General features: G+C 46.8%; 1 protein-coding gene across 25 annotated transcripts in view, besides 2 other annotated features; it reads left to right on the forward strand.

The window, feature by feature from the left end:
• TRAPPC10 (trafficking protein particle complex subunit 10) overlaps window positions 1–23644 on the forward strand; it is a 94244-nt gene that overhangs the window by 52492 nt on the left and 18108 nt on the right. For 14 of the 25 annotated variants that reach the window (XM_011529714.3, XM_011529719.3, XM_047440971.1 and 11 more), the window contains 11 exons: window positions 9524–9670; window positions 10239–10353; window positions 11752–11828; window positions 12893–12984; window positions 14764–14904; window positions 15215–15327; window positions 17988–18502; window positions 19322–19463; window positions 19788–19898; window positions 22002–22160; window positions 22899–23128. In XM_011529714.3, coding sequence (XP_011528016.1) covers window positions 9524–9670; window positions 10239–10353; window positions 11752–11828; window positions 12893–12984; window positions 14764–14904; window positions 15215–15327; window positions 17988–18502; window positions 19322–19463; window positions 19788–19898; window positions 22002–22160; window positions 22899–23128 — 1842 coding nt within the window. Of the gene's footprint in view, window positions 1–9523; window positions 9671–10238; window positions 10354–11648; window positions 11829–12892; window positions 12985–14763; window positions 14905–15214; window positions 15328–17987; window positions 18503–19321; window positions 19464–19787; window positions 19899–22001; window positions 22161–22898; window positions 23129–23644 lie in introns of those variants that run through there. The other 11 variants (NM_003274.5, XM_047440970.1, XM_047440973.1 and 8 more) reach the window with 8 other exon arrangements.
• Window positions 851–900: an enhancer, noted in NCBI's record as "active region_18562". NCBI's record gives its function as "activates an Ori minimal core promoter by ATAC-STARR-seq in GM12878 lymphoblastoid cells {active_cell/tissue: GM12878}" and the evidence as "EXISTENCE:reporter gene assay evidence [ECO:0000049][PMID:35858748]".
• Window positions 2455–2997: an enhancer, noted in NCBI's record as "H3K27ac-H3K4me1 hESC enhancer chr21:45487136-45487678 (GRCh37/hg19 assembly coordinates)". NCBI's record gives its function as "activates a minimal SCP1, AML or CMV promoter by ChIP-STARR-seq in primed H9 embryonic stem cells {active_cell/tissue: H9 hESC(primed)}" and the evidence as "EXISTENCE:reporter gene assay evidence [ECO:0000049][PMID:30033119]".

The raw sequence follows: 23644 nt of genomic DNA on the forward strand, positions 1-23644 counted from the left end.
GAGCTAAGCTCATTAGTACCTAGCCCAAGTCACAAACTCAGAAACTTAAGAATTTTTATCAAATGATTTTTCTTCACCTAATGAAGCAAATGAGGAAAAGAAACATTTTCCACCTCGAAATGACCCTCTGGGCTGCCTGTAATCACCTGGATTTAGAGACTCTGCCTGGGTTGCTCAGCCCTAACTGCAGGTTGGGGACGGGGCTGTGAGGGAACCATTCACTCCTAGAGCCGGGCTCTCTGTTCATGTGTACCTAGGGATTTCACCTGATGTTGAGATTTTTGTCTTACTAGCCGGGAGGGGGGAAAATTGAAGTATTCAAGTCCAAATGATTCAGACATGATGTCTTCTGAGTGAGACGACCCCAGGAGGCTGATTGGAGAGGGCTGTTAGTTTTGTTATTACCTTGTGGCTGGAAGGAGAAATGTGTAAGTAATAGAGGGTGTGGGCTCTGGAGTTCCCTTGTAGCGTCGGGGTTCACAGGAGCCATACGGGGTCTGTTGGCTCCTCTAGGTGCTCGTCTGCAGGGCCGGGAAGTCACAGGTATTTTCAAGGCTTTGTATCGTGTGAGGAGCCTCTTATCCGTGGTGTATTTTCCGAGCCCTTTGCTTTGCTGAATGAAGTTGTTGTCCCCTTGGCCTTTCCTTGAGTGGAAGCTGCCCCATTGCTTTTAGTCATAGCTATTGCACCTCTTTGCACGGTTGAGTTCTGCATCTCCAGTGAGAGGAGGTGGCCAAAGGTGAATGCTGGATTTGAGGCAAGGACGTGTCACCCACTGATGACTTTCTCACAGTCTGTCAGTCTCTTTCCTTCTAAGAACCCGCTTCCTGTTTCGTCATCTTCTGATGCACACAGCTGGCTGCGCCTCCTTACATGCGCTGTGCCTGTCGGCTTCCCAGGCCAGAGAGGACAGCCTCCCTTGTCGCTTGTGTTGAAGCCCACACAATCCTCTTTGCACACTTTGCACCTGTGTTTGATCAACACTGAGATTCACACTGTTTACTTAGAGGGCTTCGCTGGTAACTTCACGTCAGAAGTGTTTCTCTTTCTCTCCTTTTTTCTAAATTTTTAAATTTTTTGGTAGAGATGAGTGTCTCACTGTGTCGCCCAGGCTGGTCTGGAACTTCCGGGCTCAAGTGATCTTCCCTGCTCCCCTCCCAAAGTGCTGGGATTACAGGTCTGAGCTGCCCGTGGCTGTGTTTTTCTCTCTTGTGCAGTAGTTTTTACTCCAGTCTAGTTGTTAGGATTTTTTGGTGAGAGTCAGGTTTTAGGGCTACAGTTGAGCAGAGGCCAGGGGGTAGGTGTGCCACTGTCAGTTGCAGATCCCACTGTCCCACTTTCGAGTGGGTGGCTTATAAAACATGTCCTGCTAACATCCTGGTTGCTTTACCAGTTGATTTGAAGTACCTCATTTATTTAAAGAGAATAGGAGGCAACGAAGTGGCCAGCTGTGATGGAAACTAGCCCTGCTCTGTAGTAGGGCTTGATCCACACTCCAGGGGCGACGGGGGCTGAGGAGGGGAGCAAGACGGCCGGATAGAGGCCTCTGCCCTGTGGGTGCTGCTTACTAGCCTTGCGCACTCCCTTAATGGAAAATGTGTTAAGAATGGAGATTGTGCCTACCTTGCACAGCTGGCTGCTGGGGTGAGCGGTAACACCCGTGAAGTGAGGCCAGTTCTGCGTGAGTTCAGGATCCTCCTTGACAGAGTATTTCCTTTTTTTTTCTGTAACAATTTCTAATTTTCCCTCCATTTACAAAAGTTGAATGTTTTCTTTATGTAAATTTGGAAAATAACAGACAAATATACGAAGAAAATGTCGTTGCTTTTGCTAGCAGGAAGAGGTTCCCTTTTTTTGTCCATGGCCTTCTTATGTATAGATGAACTGCAGTTATTTCCTTGCTCCTATTTGGACATTTGAATTCTTCAAAATTCTTTGCAATTGCAGCAGTTTGTATCCTTATACATACATCTTTGTGTGTAAATTCATACAAGTAGAATTGGAAGGTCGAAGATAGACATGTTTTTAAAGCTATATGTTGTTAATTTGTCCTCCAGAAAGGTCTTCCCATTTTCAGTCATGCTAGTGATGCCTGTTTTCCTGCACCTTTGGTAAGAAAAAAGTATGATACTTATATATTTTGTCGCCAAATTAGAAGAACGGGGAAGATACTTTCTTGAAGGCCATAATGTGTTTGTTACAATGATTGCCCAAGTGATTTTTTGGGGGGGTTTGGAATGTGTTTCATTCAGCGTTTGACCTTTTATCACCTTAGCTGCTGGTTATGTAACAGACCGTGTGGGCCTAGCAGGGTCAGGACTCCTCCAGACCCCAGGGGAGTCACCAGCCTAGCCTGTGGCACGGAGGAACCGTGCATGGGACGCCGTCGGAGTTAGCTGGCCGGTTTGTGAACAGAGGCTGTGTGTGGCCAACCTGCAGGTTGAACCAGAGGAAGAAGAAGGTTTACAGTCAAAGCTGGCCAGCTGGGATCGGTATTCTGAGGTGCAGGCCTGGCAGAGGACAAAGGCAGAGATGTAGTGTGGGAATGTAGATTGTGTTTGCTGAGGGCTTACAGTGTACCCGACACCCTGCTGGGTGGGTGCTCTCATGTGTAGGTGGAGGATCTTGTGCACCCATGAGCCATGAGGGGGAGGAGCTGGATTGAAGGAGGAGGGGTGGTTGTGAGAGCTGTTGCTGAAGAAGAACTGATGGCTCACTGGACAAAAGGAAAGAGAGGACTGTCAAGAATCATTCAAGAAACGTTTCCTTGCCTGCCAGGCACTGTGGGAGACAGGGATGGGGGTGCACATAAATGAAGAGGAAAGGGCCCCACCTACCGGCATGAGGTGCCACGGGTCATCAGCACAGTGTCCAAGTAGTGACGAAGTGTTGTCTGCACACAGGGGACTGTAAGGGAGGGAAAGGCAGCTTTGCCGGATGCCTCAGGTCAGCTTGGTAAACATTTGCAGGTGCCTGATAGGTGCTAGGGAAGCTTTCTAGAGGAGGCCCTATGTGAACTCCATTAAAAAGATTCATTCAGGCTGGGCACAGTGGCTCAAGCCTGTAATCCTGGCACTTTGGGAGGTCGAGGTGGGCGGATCATGAGGTCAGGAGTTCCAGACCAGCCTGGCCAATATGGTGAAACCCTGTCTCTACTAAAAATACAAAAATTAGCTGGGCGTGATGGCAGGCGCCTGTAATCCCAGCTACTCGGGAGGCTGGGGCGGGAGAATTGCTTGAACCTGGGAGGCAGAGGTTGCAGTGAGCCGAGATCATGCCACTGCACTCCAACTGGGCAAAAGAGTGAGACTCCGTCTCAAAAAAAAAAAAAAAAGGACTCATTCACTTATCAGATCTTCATTGAGCTTCTGTTTTGTGCCAACCATTGTGGTAGGCACTGTATTTTCAGCAGAGAGTGAAATAGAATTCCTGGCCTTATGAAGCTTACGTGCTAAGGAATGAGTAGGGGGAGTAAGAACTCACCAGGTAGATGTGACTGCTGGTGGCGCGGGAGAGTGCGTTTCAGGTGGAGAAGATGGTGTTATTGAAGGTGCTCTGGAGGAGCCTGGTCTTGCTAGAACTTCAGGGGTGAGGCAGGCTTTGGGGGCAATGAAGGGAAATTCTGAAGTTCTTTGTGTGTCACGTTGAAGCTTGCCCTTTGTTCTGTAGCCAGTAGGGAGCCATGAAAGGTTAGGACCTAGTGAGGCAGAGGGCAGAGAGAGGCAGAGAGAGGTGAAGAGTTTGGAAACTTCTGCCATAGTCCAAGGGAAAAGACGGAGTTCCAAAAGGCAGTTGAGGTAGATTTTATTTTTTATTATTATTATTTGAAACACTCTGTTGCCCAGGCTGGAGTACAGTGGTGTGATCTTGGCTCATTGTAGCCTCCGCCTCCAGGGTTCAGGCAATTCTCCTGCCTCAGCCAGTCAAGTAGCCAGGATTACAGGTGCGCACCACCATGCCCGGCTAATTTTTGTATTTTTTGGCAGAGATGGGGTTTCACTATGTTGCCCAGGCTGGTCTTGAACTCCTGAGCGCAAGTGATCTACCCTCCTCAGCCTCCCGAAGTGCCAGGATTACAGGCGTGAGCTATTGCACCCAGCCGGCAGATTTTAAATAAATAGGTTCAAGAAAAATTTAGTGAATTGATGGTTCTGGGTCCACTGGATATCCATATATAAAAACAAATCTTGATCTCACCCCATAAACAAAATTAATTCCAGGTGGAGTTTTGATCTAAACATGAAAAATAAAATAAGAAAACTCTTGAAGATAACTTGGGAAAATGTCTTTGGGACCTTAAGGTTGGCAAATATTCCTTAAATAGGACATGAAACCTTTATGGTTATGCACCAGCCGTGAAGGAAGAGGGTCCTGCATTAGACTACGTAAACATCAGTGCTTCTCTTCACTGAAAGGTACTCTGAAGGGAGTGAAAAGGCCCTCCGCAGCTTGGAAGAGTACAACCAGTATATATAGACAAGAAAGGGCCCTTACTCCAGGGCGTACTGTGAAGAACTCACATACATCAATGCAGAAAGACTGACAAACCAGTAGAAAAACAGGCAAGAGAGGAAATCCAAATGGCCGATAAACATGAAAAGGGGCTCAGTCTCATGAATCATAGCAAAATGCAAACTGAAGCCATTATTAATGAAGTACCAGCACACACCACCAGAATGGCCAGGATGGAAAGGCTTTCCTCGGGTATCAGTGGGAGGGTGGAGATGCTGGCGCTCATTCACTGATGGTAGTGTGCATCACTGGGACCACTTTGGAAGGCTGTTTGCGATATCTAATGGGTATCGCCATTACAACACATGCCCCGTGACCCAGCACATCCACCCCTGGTGTGTACAGATACATGCACACACACATGCATCAGAAGGCAAGTACACAGAGATACCTGTGGCACCCGTGAGTCATTGGAGCTGCAAACGGGGAAGAACTCAAATGTTCATCTTGTCCAAGGGATGACAACGTTGCACCGTGGCCCTGTAGTGTGCTAGGGTACAGTGATGAACGTGAATGGGTCGTAGTGGATGACTCTAACCAACCTGAAGTTGAGCTAAAGAAGTTAGACACAAGAGAAGGCATACTTTTTTTTTTTTTCTGAGATGGAGTCTTGCTCTGTTTCCCAGGCTGGAGTGCAGTGGCGTGATCTTGGCTCACTGCAACCTCTGCCTCCCGGGTTGAAGCGATAAGAGAGGGCATACTTTTTGATTCCTTGTGTCTGAAGTTCACGGTGAAGCTACACCAGTCTGCTGTGAGCTCTCTGGCAGGTGGAGGGGCTGGTGACTGGCAGGGAGTTCCAGCGGGAGCTGCCTTCACGGGAGGCATAGCAGGCGTTCACCTAGGACTCATGTACCTTCCAGTGTGTGGGTTGCACTCAAGTGGTAGGGGTATCAAAAGAGAGAAGAACAAGAATGCCTTTAATTTTATACTTGGAAGTGGCAAGATGGCACTTGCCATTGCTAATACAGCAATCAGGAGAGGAGGAGGGACTTTAAGGAAAATTAATATAAATTAAGAATTTGTTTAAGAAGTCTGTTATTCACAAAAGATGATATCCAGATGGCCAAGAGGTATCTGATGGCCCATTAGGGAAATGTGAGTTTTCTGGAGACGGTGAGGCCACCACCCGGTTCCAGAGTGAGGTGACCAAGCTGCACGCTCTGCCATTCAGTCTCAGGCTCTCAGGGCAGAGCGGAGGCTTGGTCTTTGTTGTGTTGGGTGCTGTGGCATGCTGGGTGGCAGATGCCACCATAGAGGCATGGCCTTCGTGCTGTTGGCTGAGGTGCCCATTTTCTGTGTCGGCCACCATTTAGGAGCAAGGGGCTGACATTTGTTTGGACGACTCAAAGCCATGAAGCCATGGCTGCAGAACAATTGCTCTTTTCCAGAGTTTGTGAGACTCTTGTTTTTTATTCTCAAGCTGCACTCTAATGGGTAAAATAAGCCAGGGTGGCTCTGGCACTCTCTGTCCCCTTCCCCCGAGCTCTTGCGTCTCTGCTGCAGGGATGCTGGTGGGAGAAGAGTGCTGGCACTGCCTGTGTTCTGCTGTGAGTAGCCTGGCGCACTTGGGCCTGGGGGCGTCTTCGGACCCTGAGAAGTCATCCCTCCGTTGAGGCAGGGGTAACATTGCAAATAGCTTTACCCATAGTAGCCAAACACTGGAAACAACCCAGACACTTGATAGGAGTGGATAAATAAACTGTGGCCAACTTGTAGAAAGGTTTAATAAGCAGCAGTGAAAAAGAACAGGCCGACAGACTCAGCAAGGTTGAATCTTAAAGATACTGTGTGGAATTAAAGAAGCCCCATGCACAAAGGAGGACATGCTGTGTGATTTCATTATATGAAGTTCACAAATCAGCCAGAAGGAATTGATGGTGGCCGAAGTCAGGAGCCGGGTGCCTCTTTGGGGTGGATCTTGACCGGGAAAAGGGACTTGAGAGAACCTTCTAGGATAATTTTATTTCTTGATTAGGTGGTGGTTACATTTGTAAAAATCATCGACCTCTAAATTTAGGGTTTGTGCCCTTCACATACCTTGTTGTATGCATTTTGCCACTTGTTTTTTCAAAGCAATGAAAAAGTATCACTGCAATTAGGTTTTAAATAAATTTGTTTCGTTAACATGTCTGGAAGTCTTAGATGTCTTACTGTGGAAGGTCTCGCTGCTGTGGAGCCCACCTCTTTCAGGCCCTCTAAAGTATAGAGAAGAAGCAGAGTGCTCGGCCCCCTTTGGGGTGTTACCTGGGGTTTGGGTGGGAGCTAAGAGACACACACAGTAAGTAGTAACATACGAGGCAGGCGGCTCTGCAAGGCGGCACTGCAGAAAGGGTTGTGTATGCCACATCATATGCCAAATTCACATGCATGTCTTTTTTTCCCCATAAAAACTGAAATTTTAAAATGATCTGTGATAGGAAATACAGGGAGCTGTGATTCTCCTGGGAAATAAAGGCACTTAGAGCATGGAGCCGGTGAGAACTCGCAGCGGAGACCAGAGCAGGCCCGGGGGAGGCTTTGCACTTTGGGAGGTGTGAGTTCCAGAGGGAGGGGTGGCCGAGCTCACCTTCAGGTTTCTGTTATTCAGTGAAAGCCTGCCCTTGTTCCTTGGCGTGGGTGTGTGCAGGACCTGCCTGCTCTCTCCCACCTCCTTCAGGATGGAAGTTGAAGGTGAAGTCTCAGCAGCCAGTGGCCAATGGGTGCCACTGGATTTTGTTGTTTGTACCCCAGAAAAGCTGCCGCTACCTGATGCTGCTACTTTTTTAATACTGTCGTTCAAGCTTACCAAAGCGGGACTTGCTCTTTGCAGGAAAAAAATATACAAAGAACTATTCTATAATCATGCCATGCAGTAATTAATGCCACTGTTGGCATTTTGGTGGTATCATTTGGGAGCCTTTCTGGGGTGCACCTGTGCTGTCAGGTGGCGCCTCAGCTCTCGGCTGCTGCTGTTCCCTGCGGACTCAGTTCAGCGCCTGGTCGCGGAGCGGCCCTCGTGCCCTGGCTGCTCTTGCTTCTGCATCCAGCGTCCTCTGCCGCGGCTCCGCTGCTGTGGCTCCTGGGCTTTATCTCCCTTCTCTGTGGATGCATCTTTACCAAAAGCACTGTACGTCTTCCTGCTTTGTAAGAGTCTCTCGTGGTCTCCTAGGAGGTGTTTGTTTGTTTGTTTGTTTTGTGTTTCGCTATTGTTGCCCAGGCTGGAGTGCAATGGCATGATCTTGGCTCACCGCAACCTCCGCCTCCCGGGTTCAAATGATTCTCCTGTCTAAGCCTCTCGAGTAGCTGGGATTACAGGTGCATGCCACCACACCCGGCTAATTTTTGTATTTTTAGTAGAGATGGGGTTTCATCATATTGGTCAGGCTGGTCTCAAACTCCTGACCTCAGGTGATCTGCCCACCTCGGCCTCCCAACGTGCTGAGATTACAGGCGTGAGCCACCGCGCCCGGCCTCTCCTAGGAGGTCTTTCTGTCACCAGTGTGTGCCCAGGGGAGGTGCCTGTTTACAGAAGCTTTTGCGCAGTGGGTACTGATGGTGGTAGCGTCTTGGGAGATGAAAAGTATCCCAGATCTCCTGGCACCTGGGAACCAGGCGGGCCTGCAAGGTGCGGTCAGCCCGCTCCAGGCCTGCTGTGGTTTGACTGATGAGGACGCTCATCAATCGGAGGGACACGCTCTGTCCAGGATCTCAGAGCTGCTTCCTGCTGCCCCGCTTTTCTGTGCCTTCCCTCAGTGTGGTATGTTTGGGTGAGAGAGTTGTGCAGCTTTATGAAAGTGGCTTCCGATTATGCAGTTTTTGACCTACACTGATTTTTTTTTCCCAAAAGGTTTAAGTAGCTTATCTTATTTTTCAGAAGTTGGGCTTTTTAGCTTTTATGGGAACATTTGATGGCACTCTTTGGTTCTTCCTTGTTGGTTCCAGGTCCTTTATTTGTGCTCAGGGTGCCTTGCAAGAGTTCTTATGGGAGTCAGTTTCCCCGGCATTGGCAGCTCATCACCTGTTGACTGGTGATTTGAAGAGCACAGGTGAACACATTTCACCAAAACTAGGACACATCATGAAGTCAGTGCCACCAGAGAAAAAGTCAGCATTGCCACTTAAAAGTGTAAGATGCCACTTGATTAAGAGAAACATTCCTATTTCAGAAGTGCTAAAATGTGGGGGAAAACTGCATCTTATACAGCAGGCGATTTTGCTTTTCTGATAGTGTTTTCTTTTTTTTGTTTTTTAAGTGGAAAGGCTCAAGTAAATACAGAAGCAGAGAGGATAACATAATTCCCATGTAGGACCCATGAACAGTTACAGTAGGCGCGGTACCTGGCCAGCCTCTACTTCATCTGCATCCTCGTTCACTTGCCCTGGGACGTTTTTCAAATACAGACATTGGGTTTCACCTGTAAATACTGCAGTGTATAGGGAGCAATAGGGAGCTCTTTTTCCCAAACATAAATATACTGTCTTTATCACGCCTGAAGAGTGAACTGTAATTCCTCGTGTGATATTTCTACTCGGTATTCAGTTTCTGCTGTTGAACGTGATCTTTCTTAAATGTGACCAAGCAGTCATTTGAGGTCTTAGTTTTCCCTCCCCTCTTGACACTAATCTGTGGCCAATCCTCACTCTTGGAGTAAATGATCATATTTGGTCTTTTTCTAGGTTTTTCCTTTTTTTAAAAAAAAATTCTTTTTCTATATATATTTTTCAGATCTAGACCTGCAGAGGCTTTTTCTTAATAAGGTTTTCAAAAATACAATAATTGAAAGTTATACATAAAACCTGATAACACATTTGAATATAGGTCACACTGCTTCTCTCTTCCCATGTGAATGTAGGTGATTAGTGTTCTTTGCCCCTTTCTCTCTCCTGTAGCTCTGCATATCACAGAACTGTTAGATGAGGTGGCTGCTTGAAGGATGGAGGGTTTTGCACGTTCAAGCTAGAGCATGTGGGTTTGTTCAAGCTAGAGCTGTCCCGGAGCACCCCTCACACGTTCGCATTTGCACCCCCACAGGTCTCTGTCCCACCTGGTGCTCTGGACTGCTGGGTGTTTCTGAGCTGTCTGGAGGTGTTGCAGAGGATAGAAGGCTGCTGTGACCGGGCACAGATCGACTCAAACATTGCCCACACTGTGGGGCTATGGAGCTATGCCACAGAAAAGGTGCCTACCTGCCCAAGTGTGGAATGCTCACGTTGTCTCTGCGGCCATGCCTGGGTGGCGGAGGAAGTCTGCTGTTTGGAGGAGAGGTGTTGCTCATTTAGATCACGATGCATCCACTTTAGTGGCCCTAGAAGGTGTCTGGGTGCAGCCAAAGAAGTCATAGTTCCCTACCACATGTCGATGTAGTCAGCAGACAGCAAGCACTTGCTGTGCTCCTGTGAAATTGACTCTGTACCCTGAGTCGGGGGACACGAGGGTGGTGCTGAAATGTCAGCTCACCAGGCAGAGCTGTGCTGGTGTGTGCAGCAGGTAGGCTGGGCTTATGCAGGTGCAGGCGTAGCCTGGGGAACTCAGGGAGGTGAAGGACAGAAGCGGAGGATTCCCACCCTCCAAGCCTCACTGGGAGCTGTTGTGTAGGATGTATTTTTGTATCCAGATTTGAGTCATTGGGTAGGAAAGCTAAATTTCTTCTAGAATTTAGCTGGATTTGAATTTTTATATTTAAATTCTTGAATTCCCTGCTGACTCTTACGGCAAATTAATTGAAATTGTGGATTTATCTTAACAGTTAAAGTCCTTGGGCTATCTATGTGGACTTGTGTCAGAGAAAGGACCTAACTCAGAAGATCTCAACAGGACAGTTGACCTTTTGGCAGGTTTGGGAGCTGAGCGACCAGAAACAGGTACTTTTTTGTATATACCTGTGTGAGTGGTGAGGTGGACAGTAATGAAAATGTCCTTTGCAAGTTGGCACATTTAACCGAAGTTCTAAGAGTAATCATATTACTCACCATTTGGAAAATTATACCCATTGTTAGCTGACTGGATTAAAGCACATGATAGTTTACCTTTTAACAGCATAATGCAATATTAGAAATAGTTGAAGAAATTGGAAGGAGTTTCAGAAATGTAGCTGAGTTTCTCCTGGGCTTAAGGGACTTTATAGCTCATGTTCAAATGCACCACTGTCTCTCTGAATTACAGATGATCTGTTTTTCTAACAATACGACCTGACGATTTTTTTTTTTTTTAAGAGACAGGGTCTCACTCTGTTGCCCAGACTGGAGTGTAGTGGCACAATCTTGGCTCACTGCAGCCTCGACCTCCTGGGCTCAAGGGATCCTCTTGCCTCACCCTCCCAGGTAGCTGGGACTACAGGTGTGTGCTACCATACTTGGCTAATTTTTTAATTTTTTGTAGAGATGGAGTCTCGCTGTATTGCCCAGGCTGGTCTCAAACTCCTGGCCTAAAGTGATCCTCCTGCCCTGGCCTCCCAGCAAATTTTTTAAAATAAATTGGCTGGGCACGGTGGCTCCCACCTGTAATCCCAGCACTTTGGGAGGCCGAGGTGGGCGGATCACCTGAGGTCAGGAATTCGAGACCAGCCTGACCAACATGGAGAAACCCCATCTCTACTAAAAATACAAAATTAGCCGGGTGTGGTGGTGCATGCCTGTAATCCCAGCTATTCGGGAGGCTGAGGCAGGAGAATCGCTTGAACCTGGGAGGTGGAGGTTGTGGTGAACAAAGATTGCTCCATTGCACTCCAGCCTGGGCAACAAGAGCAAAACTCTGTCAAAAAAAAAAAAAAATTCTCCTGGATAATAAGGCTCTTTGAAAGGAGGATTACTCATTGTTTTACGTAGGAATATATGATGAGTATTATTTAGCAAGACTGTTGCTAAAGAATATCTGATGAGCTGAAAACATTCTTAGTAAATTGAATAAATGTTTAAGGGAAAAAATACGTAGTATTTATATTTCATTGTTTCAACTTGAGACCATTTCAGATCACTTCGGAAGTAATTTAATTCATCGGAGTATTTGTAATATATGTTTCTAAAAAAGTTTAGTTCTAAAGATCAGAGAAAAAGCATGACACAAAGCGTTTTGACTATTTTATGAATATGTGAATTGAAAGAGAATGTACATAATCATGTAGTTTCCGTTGGCATTGGCCGGTTTGTAATTTCACAAGAGTCAGATGAGGTCATCTACCTGCAGTATGTGAAGGTGAATGTAAAGTCATGTGACTGGACATGATGAAGATGAAGAGGGACTCTCGTTTCTTTCTGTTTAAGCCAACACAGCTCAGAGTCCTTATAAGAAACTGAAAGAAGCATTATCGTCAGTGGAAGCTTTTGAAAAACACTACTTAGTAAGTATTAACAAGTGTTCAATGTCTGTTCTGTGAATACCTGTCTCTAGAAGGCTTTGCTACATGGCCTGTTGAGTTGGGAAGGAACTGGTGTGGGGGGCCCCTTCTTGTTGGTTTTTTTTAGTTTCTTTGGTACCTGGGGAGTTGTGGACAAAACATGGAGTAGTTCATCAAATGTGTATTAGTGCCCATGGTACCATGCTAGGCATGGAATCATCTTTGAATATTTACCGTTTTGTTCAAATTGGGTTTGCTCACACAGAAATTATAAGAGAGGCTAGTGAATACTTTTCTTTGTAAAAAGGAGTAATTTGGACTTGGGCAGAGCTATTGTATTTGATTTTGAAAGACTTAAATTAGCAAAACTTTAAAAAACGGCGTAGGCAGAAGTGTGGTGGGTCAGCGTCATTCCCGGGTCATGGGCAACTTGAGCGTTTGGTCTGCCCGTAATGGCTGTACCTCTTATACACACAAGTATGAAAAATACCCAGCATGTCACCCACGTGCAGAAAGTCCTTGGAAAAGTTAGATGTTTTGGATGAGTTTGTGGGTTTCTTTTATTATTATGCTTCATAATTTATACACAGGTTACCAATTTTGCTTATATATTACAGAAAAATTCACAAAAATAGATGCAAAGGAAAAAATAATGTTACATTATTAGCAATGTCTTCTGCGGGCTGGGCATGGTGGCTCACGCCTGTAATTCAGCACTTTGGGAGGCTGAGGCAGGTGGATCACTTGAGGTCAGGAGTTTGAGACCAGCCTAGCCAACATGGTGAAATCCTGTCTCTGCTAAAGATACAAAAAATTAGCCGGGCCTGGTGGCGCCTGTAGTCCCAGCTACTTGGGAAGCTGAGGCACAAGAATCACTTCAACCTATGAGGCGGAGGTTGCAGTGAGCTGAGATCTCACCGCTGTGCTCCAGCCTGGGCGATGGAGCAAGACTCTGTCTCAAAACAAAAACCCAACAATGTCTTTTGTGTGAGCTTTAGGTGAATAAATGTAGTATTTGTCCATCATTAAAAGTTCAAGTACATAATTGTGTTTTTACTTCCCCACAGGATTTGTCCCATGCCACCATTGAAATGTATACAAGCATTGGGAGGATTCGATCTGCTAAGTTTGTTGGAAAAGATCTGGCAGAGTTTTACATGTAATTGATTTTGTACTTTTCTTTGAATTCTAAACATACAAATAACACGAGAAGATTTGTTATATATGGAGTTAGTATAAAGTGCACATAAATTTGTAGACTGAAAAGTGTAGATTCTCTTACCCAGTCCTCATAATTTTTTTTTCAGTTTCTTCTGAAAACCAGATGGAGAGATTTTCTGCTTGTTACTCTTAATAACTGTTATTGGTCTTTGAGGTTCTTTTATTTAATTAAATATATACATTTTTGTAACTAAGTTTAATTAAAGAATTATAAGACAGTATAATGGTGAGTAAATTGGCATATAGATTCTTACATATTTTGTTATATAGCATTTCTCTAATTTTATCAAGTATTAAGAGGACTGAAAAACCTCAAGGCCATTGATGTAAAGCTACTGCATGTGTCAGGTTCATGAAAGAGGGATGATCTAGGGATGACTGGAAGAAGGTGTGTACAAAGACTGCAGGGTTTCCATTCCAGCTCCAGCTTTGAAGTTTGATTCCAGAAAAACTCAAAATTTAGCGTATTTCTGGTGTGTTTCATAAAATCAGACTATCAAAGAGAAGAAACCCCAGTGGGTCATGTGGTTACCATTTCAGAGTACTCAAAGGAGATACAAGCTATAAGGAAAAAGATGCTTGTTTTCATTTTCTAAAAAAAAAAAAAAAAAAAGTGATTGAAATGAGATCTTGAAATCTGTACTCAAGTGATTTCATTAGGTGAAGCAAGAAATGAGAATTGATTTGAACTGATGTGAATTGGCTGGAAAGGGATTCTTAGATCAGCTAAGTGAACTTTCTGGTTTTCCGGATGTGGTTGGAGCAGCTTTGCCGATTACCCACTGGTTAACAGCAGAGTCACAGCTAGAATGTAGCTCTCTTGAACTTCCATGCTGTGTATCTGAAGAGGAAGGTGCTCCTTAAGGAAGCAGAGAGGCTTCTCGGGAAAGGGGAGGGGATCCTTGTTGCTCCTGAGGCTTTGACAAGCCCTTATTAATTTGCATTTTAAAGGCAGGCAAGGCCGCACACACCAGTAGTCCCAGCTACAGTGGAGGAGGCTGAGGCGGGAGGATCACTTGAGCTGAGGAGTTTGAGACTGCAGTGAGCTATGATCACACCACTGTATTCCAGCCTGAGTGACAGAGCAAGACCCCATCTTTAAAAAAAACAGTTGTGCTTTAAACTTTGCTTTGGGGGCCAAGTGTGGCTATTTTAATTCTCCGGCGTTCTCTGGAAGCTGGATCCTGTGGAGTGCTCTTTGCCTGAGTTTCCAAGTGGCTCTGTGCTCCCTTCCGCTTGCGCCCTGTAGACTGCTTCTGTGTTTCTGTGCCTTTAGTAGGTAGTGTAGACCCATACTTGGACTTCCTGGCTTCATTGCTGACTAGCAGTGTACTTGTGGACAAGCCCTTCCTTCACCTTCTCTTAGCCTTGGCCCTCTTGCCTGTCAGCTTGAGATCATGAATGATAGGCTCACTTTCTTATCCTGAGATTCAGCTATGAAAGTTCCTCGACATGTGTATAAAGCCAGACCAACGATGTGTTGTGCTCTTATCACCACACGCTCATTTCTCAGATCTTTGCCTGGGAGTCTAATTATGTCGTCCTGAGTAGGTACTCTTTCTCACGGAGTGGGGTGGGTGGAAAAGGGCTATCTAGAGATGTTGAGTCTGTCCTGGCATGGGGTCTGGAGGATGGAGGCCAAAGCGGGAGAGATGGGGTTTCAGTGTGTTGATTATCCCTAGCTGTAATGAAAGCTACTGTTTGTTGACTTTGCAAGGAGGAAAAAGGCTCCACAAAAGGCAGAAATCTATCTTCAAGGAGCACTGAAAAACTACCTGGCTGAGGGCTGGGCACTCCCCATCACACACACAAGGAAGCAGCTGGCCGAATGTCAAAAGCACCTTGGACAAATTGAAAAGTATCCTTTAATGTTTTCATGAAGCAGGAAAATTATTTTCTGTTTATACGGCAACATTGCCCACAATCAATGTTTCATTCACACCTATTATTAAGGAGAGAAAAGTCCTAACTTATACATATGTATTGTATAGAAAATGAATGAAATGTCTAGTCGATTTTTTATAATCTAATTTTGAGCCCTAGTAACTTAAAAAAAAAAAGCCCTTTGGCTTTTGAAGCCTCTGTGAAGGCCGTAGGAGACTTTGCATCCACTTCCCCCCGCACTCCTAAGTATGAGCCTCTCCACGCTCCTTACCTCTCCGCTCCAGCTACCTGCAGACCAGCAGCCTCTTAGCCAGTGACCACCACCTCACTGAAGAGGAGCGCAAGCACTTCTGCCAGGAGATACTTGACTTTGCCAGCCAGCCGTCAGACAGCCCAGGTAAGACCAGTTCTTACAACTTGACTAGGAATATTTTCAAATATTACAGAAGTAAAAAAGAATACAAGATATACCAACCACTTACAGTAAACAGTTGCTAACATTTTGCTGTGTAGCTGACATGTATCTATGTCTTTCACCTGACTTTTTTTTTTATTTTTGCTTTAAGTCAAACTCTAGACCACATTAGATCTTCTAAAAATAAGGACAGTCTCTTAACCACACCCAAAGAATTAATAAGGTTCTAATATCATCTGCTAAGTAGGCCATATTCATATTTCCCTAATTGTCTTAAAGTATTTTATAAATCATTTTTAATGGAGTCCAACAGGATATCACATATTACATGTGGTTGTTAGATCTCAGTTCTCTTTTAATGTAAAAAAAGTTCTTCCCATCTCTTTTTCTTCTTCTTCTTTTTTTTTTTTGAGACAGAGTCTCGCTCTGTTGTCCAGGCTGTAGTGCAATGGTGCCATCTCAGCTCACCACAACCTCCGTCTCCCGGGTTCAAGCAATTCTCCTGCCTCAGCCTCCCAAGTAGCTGGGGTTACGTGCGCCCGCCACCATGCCCTGCTAATTTTTTGTATTTTTAGTAGAGACAGTGTTTTGCTCTGTTGGCCAGGCTGGTCTCAGACTCCTGACCTCAGGTGATCCACCCACCTCAGCCTCCCAAAGGGCTGGGATTACAGATGTGAGCCACCGCACCCAGTCTTTTTCTTCATTTTTTAAGATGGTGCTTTTTTTTTTTTTTAAAATGTAACAGCATTATTGTGATATTCACAAACCATGTAATTCACTCATTTGAAGTTTATAATTCAATGGCTTTTAGTCTGTTTCAGGAATATGTGCAACCATTACCACAGTCAATATTATTGTTCTTTTTTTTTTTCTTTTTTTTTTTTTTTTTTTTGACTATCTTGCTCTCTTGCCTGGGCTGGAGTGCAGTGGCACGATCCCAGCTCACTGTAGCCTCAACCTTCTGGAGTCAAGAGATCCTCTTACTTTGGCTTCCTGAGTGGCAGGGACCACAGGTGTGGGCCACCACACCCAGCTATTTTTTTTCTTCTCTGTCTCCCAGGTTGGAGTGCAGTGGCATGATTGTAGCCCACTGCAACCTCTGCTTTTTGGGCTCAATTGCTCCTCCCACCTCCACCTCCTGTGTAGCTTGGACTACAGGAGCATACCACCATGCCTGGCTAATTTTTGTATTTTTAGTAGAGATGGTTTTGCCATATTGCCCAGGCTGGTCTTTAACTCCTGAGCTCAAGGAATCTACACACCTCGGTCTCCCAAAGTGCTGGAATTACAGATGTGAGCCACCATGCCTGGCCACCACAGTCAATTTTAAAACATATTTATCACCCTAAAAAGAAACCCCATACTGTAATCCCCAAAGTGCTGGGATTACAGGCGTGAGCCACCACGCTGGGCCCCAGATGCTTGTAAGTGAATACACCCCAGCAGTCAATAACCACATCAACCTGACCCTGAAACTTCTAGGAACTTCTGCCTGCCCTGGGAGGCCGGGGCAGGCAGATCACTTGAGGTCAGGAGTTTGAGACCAGCCTGGGCAACATGGCGAAACCCTGTCTCTACAAAAAATTAGCCAGGTGTGGTGGCGGGCACCTGTAGTCCCAGCTACCCAGGAGGCTGAGGTAGGAGGATCGCTTGAGCCCAGGAGAACTGGGCTGTAGTGAGCCAAGATGGTGCCACTATACTATAGCCTGGGCGACAGAGCGAGACCCTGTCTCAAAGAAAGGGGGACAACAAAAGATCCATGTGGGTGGGTTTCTCGGGAGCATCATGACGTTAGTCTGTGGAGTCTTTAACGCGCCCAAGCTGACTGTTGGTAGAGCCGTGACCACATCTGCTGCTGCTTTGTATTTGAGACTATTTGAGTTGTGATGTTCCTGCCAACGTTCCTTGGTATCTCTATACGAATAAAATATTCCACAATCGTTTACTGTTTCTCATGATCTATGGCATCAGTCTTGGCAAGTCCTTTCGTTGATGAATATTTAATAAATACTTAACTGGTCACTTCTGCAGCCTTGTGTATTTTCTAGACAAAACCAAGGTACTTACAGTTCGGTCAGAGAGAGAAGGGCCCAGAGAGAGCATTAGGCTCTCATTCCAGCAGCAACTGTAGACCTGGCTGGTTGCTGCCATCCTGGGCCTGGGGGCACAGAGGGGTCCTGCTTAATCGGCTGACTTTGTAGACTGGCAGACACCTGGGGTTTGTTTCCACATCACAGCAGGGCACTTGGGCATCTTCACTGAGCATGTTTTTAAGTAGGTGAGAAAATATTGGAATCCCTTGGAAATAGCTGTAGAAATTGGACTATTTACAAATTGTCGTTTGAAATTGAGAGGTAGTTGACCTGTATTTCTCTTAGGTTTGTCAAAGCAGACTTGAGAAGGTTAATTTCTGTACATTTTATGATTTCTAGGCATTACGTAGGTATTTGCTAATATTCTGCTTTTGATACAATAGCCTTTGGGGGGTGTGAAGATGGCAGGAGGCTGGGCTCAGCTGCTGTGCCCATCACTGCTGCTTGCTTCAGTCTGCTCTCGGTGATCTTACTGTGTCCGCGGCCTGCTGCTGCTTACTGTCAGGAAGTGTGACTTGGGGAGTCACTTACGATAATGTCTATTTACAGGTCATAAGATAGTGCTACCCATGCATTCCTTTGCACAACTGCGAGATCTCCATTTTGATCCCTCCAATGCCGTGGTCCACGTGGGCGGCGTTTTGTGCGTTGAGATAACCATGTACAGCCAGATGCCTGTGCCTGTTCACGTGGAGCAGATTGTGGTCAATGTCCACTTCAGCATTGAGAAAAACAGCTACCGGAAGACTGCGGAGTGGCTTACCAAGCACAAGACGTCCAATGGGATCATTAACTTTCCACCCGAGACCGCACCTTTCCCTGTATCCCAAAACAGTTTGCCCGCGCTGGAGTTGTATGAAATGTTTGAGAGAAGCCCATCTGATAACTCCTTGAACACGACTGGGATTATCTGCAGAAACGTCCACATGCTCCTGAGAAGGCAGGAGAGCAGCTCCTCTCTAGAGATGCCCTCAGGGGTGGCTCTGGAGGAGGGTGCCCACGTGCTGAGGTGCAGCCACGTGACCCTGGAACCAGGGGCCAACCAGATAACATTCAGGACTCAGGTATGCGTTCAGGGTGGGAACTTGACTTTCAAGTTTGTAAAGCAGGGCCGTGGAGCTTACAAGAACTGTCTGGAGTGTGCTGTGAATTGAGTAGAGTCCTTTGTTCTCCTAACCCTGTTTTTGTCTCTGTCCTTATACAAAAATACACTGATGTTTTCTTTCGTGTTTTATACAATTTTCTGACATTTGATAAATTCTGAGTGAAGTTCTTAACGTAGATATTTGTTCTTAGATTAAGTTAGCTTTTTAACTCATTGGATTATTGGATTCAGTTAGCTTTCCCCCCTGCATATGAAAATACACACCCTCATTTGTTAAAATGAGCTTTCAAAGAAGGTGGTACACTTTCCCACTCAAACTTATTTTCCTTTTGTGGCTGGCTGGGTGTCAAAACTGGTGTTTCTCACCCACTCTAACATAAAGTTTTCTCTGACACAGGATATCCTGTAAGTTCCACTAACTCAACAGGATTTGGCCTGTGGAAAGTACAGCTATTTGTCACATTTTTTAGTCTAGGGCAGGGCTTAAATCTCGTGCTGAATGTCTCTACAATGCCACAAATACAGTTTAGATAAGTTGAAAATACCTTATTAAAGTTAAATTTAAGCATCAGTTACTCAGAAAATCACGAATTGAGAGATTCTGAGGGCCTTGTGAAGAGCCCAAGCTTAGAGGTTTAGGCACAAGAGCAGGGGGTACAAGAGGGAAAGAAGTACAGGCCTTTCTGGAGTTCAGAGAGACCGCTGCACCGCGCTACCGCAGGAAGCTAACTGCAAAACTGGGTGACGTGGTTTCAAATGCCTGATTCTTTGACTCTAGGCCAAGGAACCTGGAACGTATACACTCAGGCAGCTGTGCGCCTCGGTGGGCTCCGTGTGGTTCGTCCTCCCTCACATCTACCCCATTGTGCAGTACGACGTGTACTCACAGGAGCCCCAGCTGCACGTGGAGCCGCTGGCTGGTGAGTGGGGTCCCCAGCCTTTGAGGAGGCGTGCTGCTGGGGCAGTTCTGAGGAGACCTGCTGAGATGCCAGGCTTCTCATAAGTTTTAGCTGTGTCTGCCTTTAAGAGATATTTTGGGTAACATAATGGAAATTTTGCCTGGGAACTAGCTGACTGCCTCTTTTGTTTATCTGAATGTTTGCTTTCCTGTAATTGCTTTTTCATGTTTAATAAACATGGTGTATCTGAAAATAAGAAACACAGAAGAATTAGCTCTGAGAGTGGAAAAAAGAAACTCAAGGTATTTTTTTCTATTGGCTCACTCAACCTAATGGTCAATGCAGAGGACTTCTGGGCCCAAATGTGCAGGGATTTCCCCCTGCCAGCAAGCAAGCAGTCGGTCCTGCAATTCAGTTCTGACCCTGTCTACTGGAGCTGGCGTCAGACACCACAGGGTGAGGGCTCAGTCCCCAAGACAGTCCCCCCCTTCCCATGCCAGCCACCAGCCCAGGGTTCTTTTGCTTGTGCTCCTGACCAACTAGCTAGAAATCAGGGCTCTCACAACCCCCTTTCTGGGTTTGATGAATTTGTTAGAACAGCTCACAGAACTCAGGGAAACAGGTTGACTGGATTATTATAAGGGATATAGATGAAGAAGTGTGGAGGGTGAGGTATGGGGAAAGGGGTGCAGAGCTTCCACGCCCTCCCTGGGCGCCACCCTCCAGGAACCTCCATGTGTTCAGCTGCCTGAAAGCTCTCCAGACCCTGTCCTTTGGTTTTTATGGAAGTGACATTACACAGGCATGATCGATTACACCACTGGCCACTGATGAGCAACTCGACCTTCAGCCCCTCTTTCCTCCCTGGAGGTTGGGTGCCACTGCTGAAAGGCCCGACCCTCTAATCCTGCCCTGGTCATTCTGGTGACCAGTCCTCATCTTGAAGCTACCTTGGAGCTGCCAGCCTCCAATCAACTCATTAGCCTACAAAAAGACATCACTTTGGAGATTCTAAGGAATTTGGGAGCTAGTATGCCTGGAAATGGGGTTGAAAACTACATGTGTATTTTACAGTGTCACATTAGGCCAAGAAGCAGCTAATGTCTACCACAGGGTTTCATAAATATGTATATAATTTCCTGCTTAGAAGTACGTTTCAAATGCTAAACACTAGATTTAGTTAGGATCTATACTCAGATCCCAGCACTTTGGGAGGCCAAGGCTTTGAGACCAGCATGGGTAAGCCAGTCGGGGCAGGATGACAAAACCCCATCTCTGCAAAATAAAAAAATGAAGTAAATTAGCTGGGTGTAGTCGTGCGCCACGGCCTCTAGTCCTAGCTACAGGCTGGAGCCCCAGCTGAGGCTCCTGCCTCAGCCTCCTGAGCCCAGGAGTTTGAGGCCTCAGGGAGCTGTGATTGCGCCACTGTTCTCCAGCGTGGGTGACAGAACAAAACTCCATCTCTTAAAAAAAAAAAAAGTTTTCCTTTGAAAGGGTTGATTAAACTTGTCCGTCTGGCATGGCATTTGAGAAATTCAAAGCTATTGTCCTTTCTGATAAGTTCTAAAATTGGAAGGAGTTGCTATAAACAAATGATTGAAGAACATGTGGCAGCTGAACAAGAGTGAGTGAATGTCTCCTTTGTTCGGGCTAGCAACGATTTATTTATTTGCCTGTTTCTTCTACGTGGAAAAAAATCACAAAGGGCATTTTTCTGTTATTCCCCCATTCCCCCTATTTTTCTGCATTTGTGCCTCTTGTGTGGCCACCAGCAAAGGCTGTCAGATGTGGGACACAGCAGTCAGTCTCTCCAGTGATTCTTCCATTGGAACATTGTGTAGAGAAGCTGAACTCGATTCCCGCAGGGGAGCCGAAGCACCAGCCAGCAGGCCCTGCCCTCCCCATGGCCCAGCGGCTGCAGTGCCAGGCTCATGGCCTGGCTCCTGCTTCCTGCCTAGTGTCCCCTGTCTCTGTCCACTCTCCCCCCGGTCCTGGTATCTTGCCTGCCTTCTGTCTTCCCTGCAGCAGGATTCTCAGAGGCCTCAGCTCACTCCTGCCTCTCATTGCTGTCTTGGAGTGAGGGGGAGCCACCTGACTGCTGACTGTTCTTAACCCAAAAGCCCGTGGCCTGAAGCTGAAAAATCCAGAGAAGGTTTTGAATATTTGAGCAGCACCAGCACAGTCAAGTTTTCTTTACAGTCTCTTCTTAAGCCTCATTATGTGATTCTCTTCTACTACTAATGGGCAGGCAAATTTTGTGACCCTCAGAGACGTAGTCATGATCATAATCCCTGACTTGCTGAACCAAGATGGGTATAAGACTCCTTGACTCACAGGATTCTTTTTTCCCCAGCAAGGTTCTCCTTCAACCCTGTAGTCCACATCATTGAGATGAAAAGTTAGGGCAGAAGGGAATGGAAGTAGAAGGAATTCATGGAGATCCCAAAGGAGCAAATCTTTCATAGTAAAAGAAATAGAGCCCCTTTCACCCCATTGCGGGCCCTGAGATGCTGTCTTCCGGTTGGCAGCGGTGCTGAGCCACGATCTCTTTTCCTTTAGATAGCCTTCTGGCAGGCATTCCTCAGAGAGTCAAGTTCACTGTCACTACCGGCCATTATACGATAAAGAATGGAGACAGCCTGCAGCTTAGCAATGCCGAAGCCATGCTCATCCTGTGCCAGGCGGAGAGCAGGGCTGTGGTCTACTCCAACACGAGAGGTGAGGTGCCGCCCACCCAGGCCCAAGGAGGATGCCCACCTTGCCCTGCACTGTGTGGGTGTGAGGGTGAGCCTGGCCTTGCTGCCATCCTGCTGAGCGCCCCTCAACAGTGTCTGGAGTCCGTGTTCCATAGGAGCCCTGCGGCCTGATGCCTGTGCTGGGGTCCCATCTGAGGTGATAAACTGAGAGTGGTTCACACGCTGAGTGGCCGAGCAGTGCTTGTCTGGCTGAGGATTAGGAGATGGGGGTCACGGCTGGGGTCACGTTCCATGGTGATGCCTGCCAGACCCTGTCCCCCTTGGGCTGGCCCTGCTCCCGAGAAGCAAAAGCAGAGCAGCCCTTGCAGGTGCTGTTGAGAGCCCTGAGCACTCCCATCCTCCCAGCCACGAGGAAGGGGAAGGGGAGGACCCTGCTCCCCTGGGGTGGGGGTGGATCTGCGGATGAGCTGGAACGGGAGAAAGTCATGCAGGGACCTACACAGGACTTGGGTGGGCCCCGTGGGAAATGCCCTTTTCCTCTCTTCAGATTGAGATCAATGATGGGTCTGGGCGCCTGCCTGCCGGCTTTCACACAGGGCTGCTCTGTCCTAGGGGCCTTGTTCTTGGGTTTGCCTGCCAGGTGCGCAGGAGCGGGAGAGGTTGAGCAGTGGCCTCACTGCTGGGCCATCACCTGCTGTAAGGAAAAGGACAAGTGAAACCGAGGGAACAGCTTTGAAGTGACTTTTTCTGTCCTTCGTAGAACAGTCTTCTGAGGCCGCGCTCCGGATTCAGTCCTCCGACAAGGTCACGAGCATCAGTCTGCCTGTTGCGCCTGCGTACCACGTGATCGAATTTGAACTGGAAGTTCTCTCTTTACCTTCAGCCCCAGCACTCGGAGGGGAGAGTGACATGCTGGGGATGGCAGAGCCCCACAGGAAGCATAAGGACAAACAGAGAACTGGCCGCTGCATGGTTACCACAGACCACAAAGTGAGTAGGGACAGTGGAGGAGCTTAGCTTGTGGGGCGTCCGCCGCCCGCCTGCCTGCTGGGAAAGGCGATGTAGCGATGCCTGCTGTTAGCCTGGCTCCTTCTGATTCCCGATGCCCTGGGCATGTGTTTAGCAGTTCTGTCTGTCTGTGAATCACCCTTTCTTAGATAAGGGGTGCATTTTTTGCAAGGGCAGAGACAAGCCAGCTCTACCTTTCCCTCTCAGTTCCAGGGGCCAGGGAGTTTGCTGTAAGAGGTTAGGGCCGGCTTAGGCATGAGGGGCGTAAAACTTGGGTCATGTCCATTAGACCGGTGACGAGGCCAGAGGAGGTCTGTGTCGTGTGTGCCTCGGTGTCTGTCCACTGAAACTCATAAGCTCAGCCACGGAGGAGCTGTCTCATTTTAGGCTTTGGTGCTGGTACTTACTGACAGTTACTTGAGAAAGATGTGATTTCGGTCCCAGAGCCACAGGATATCAGCTCATGGAATGTGTCGCTGCATCATGTTACTCAGGGTG

This window comes from Homo sapiens, chromosome 21 (assembly GCF_000001405.40).
Source record: "Homo sapiens chromosome 21, GRCh38.p14 Primary Assembly".
NCBI lineage: Eukaryota > Metazoa > Chordata > Mammalia > Primates > Hominidae > Homo > Homo sapiens.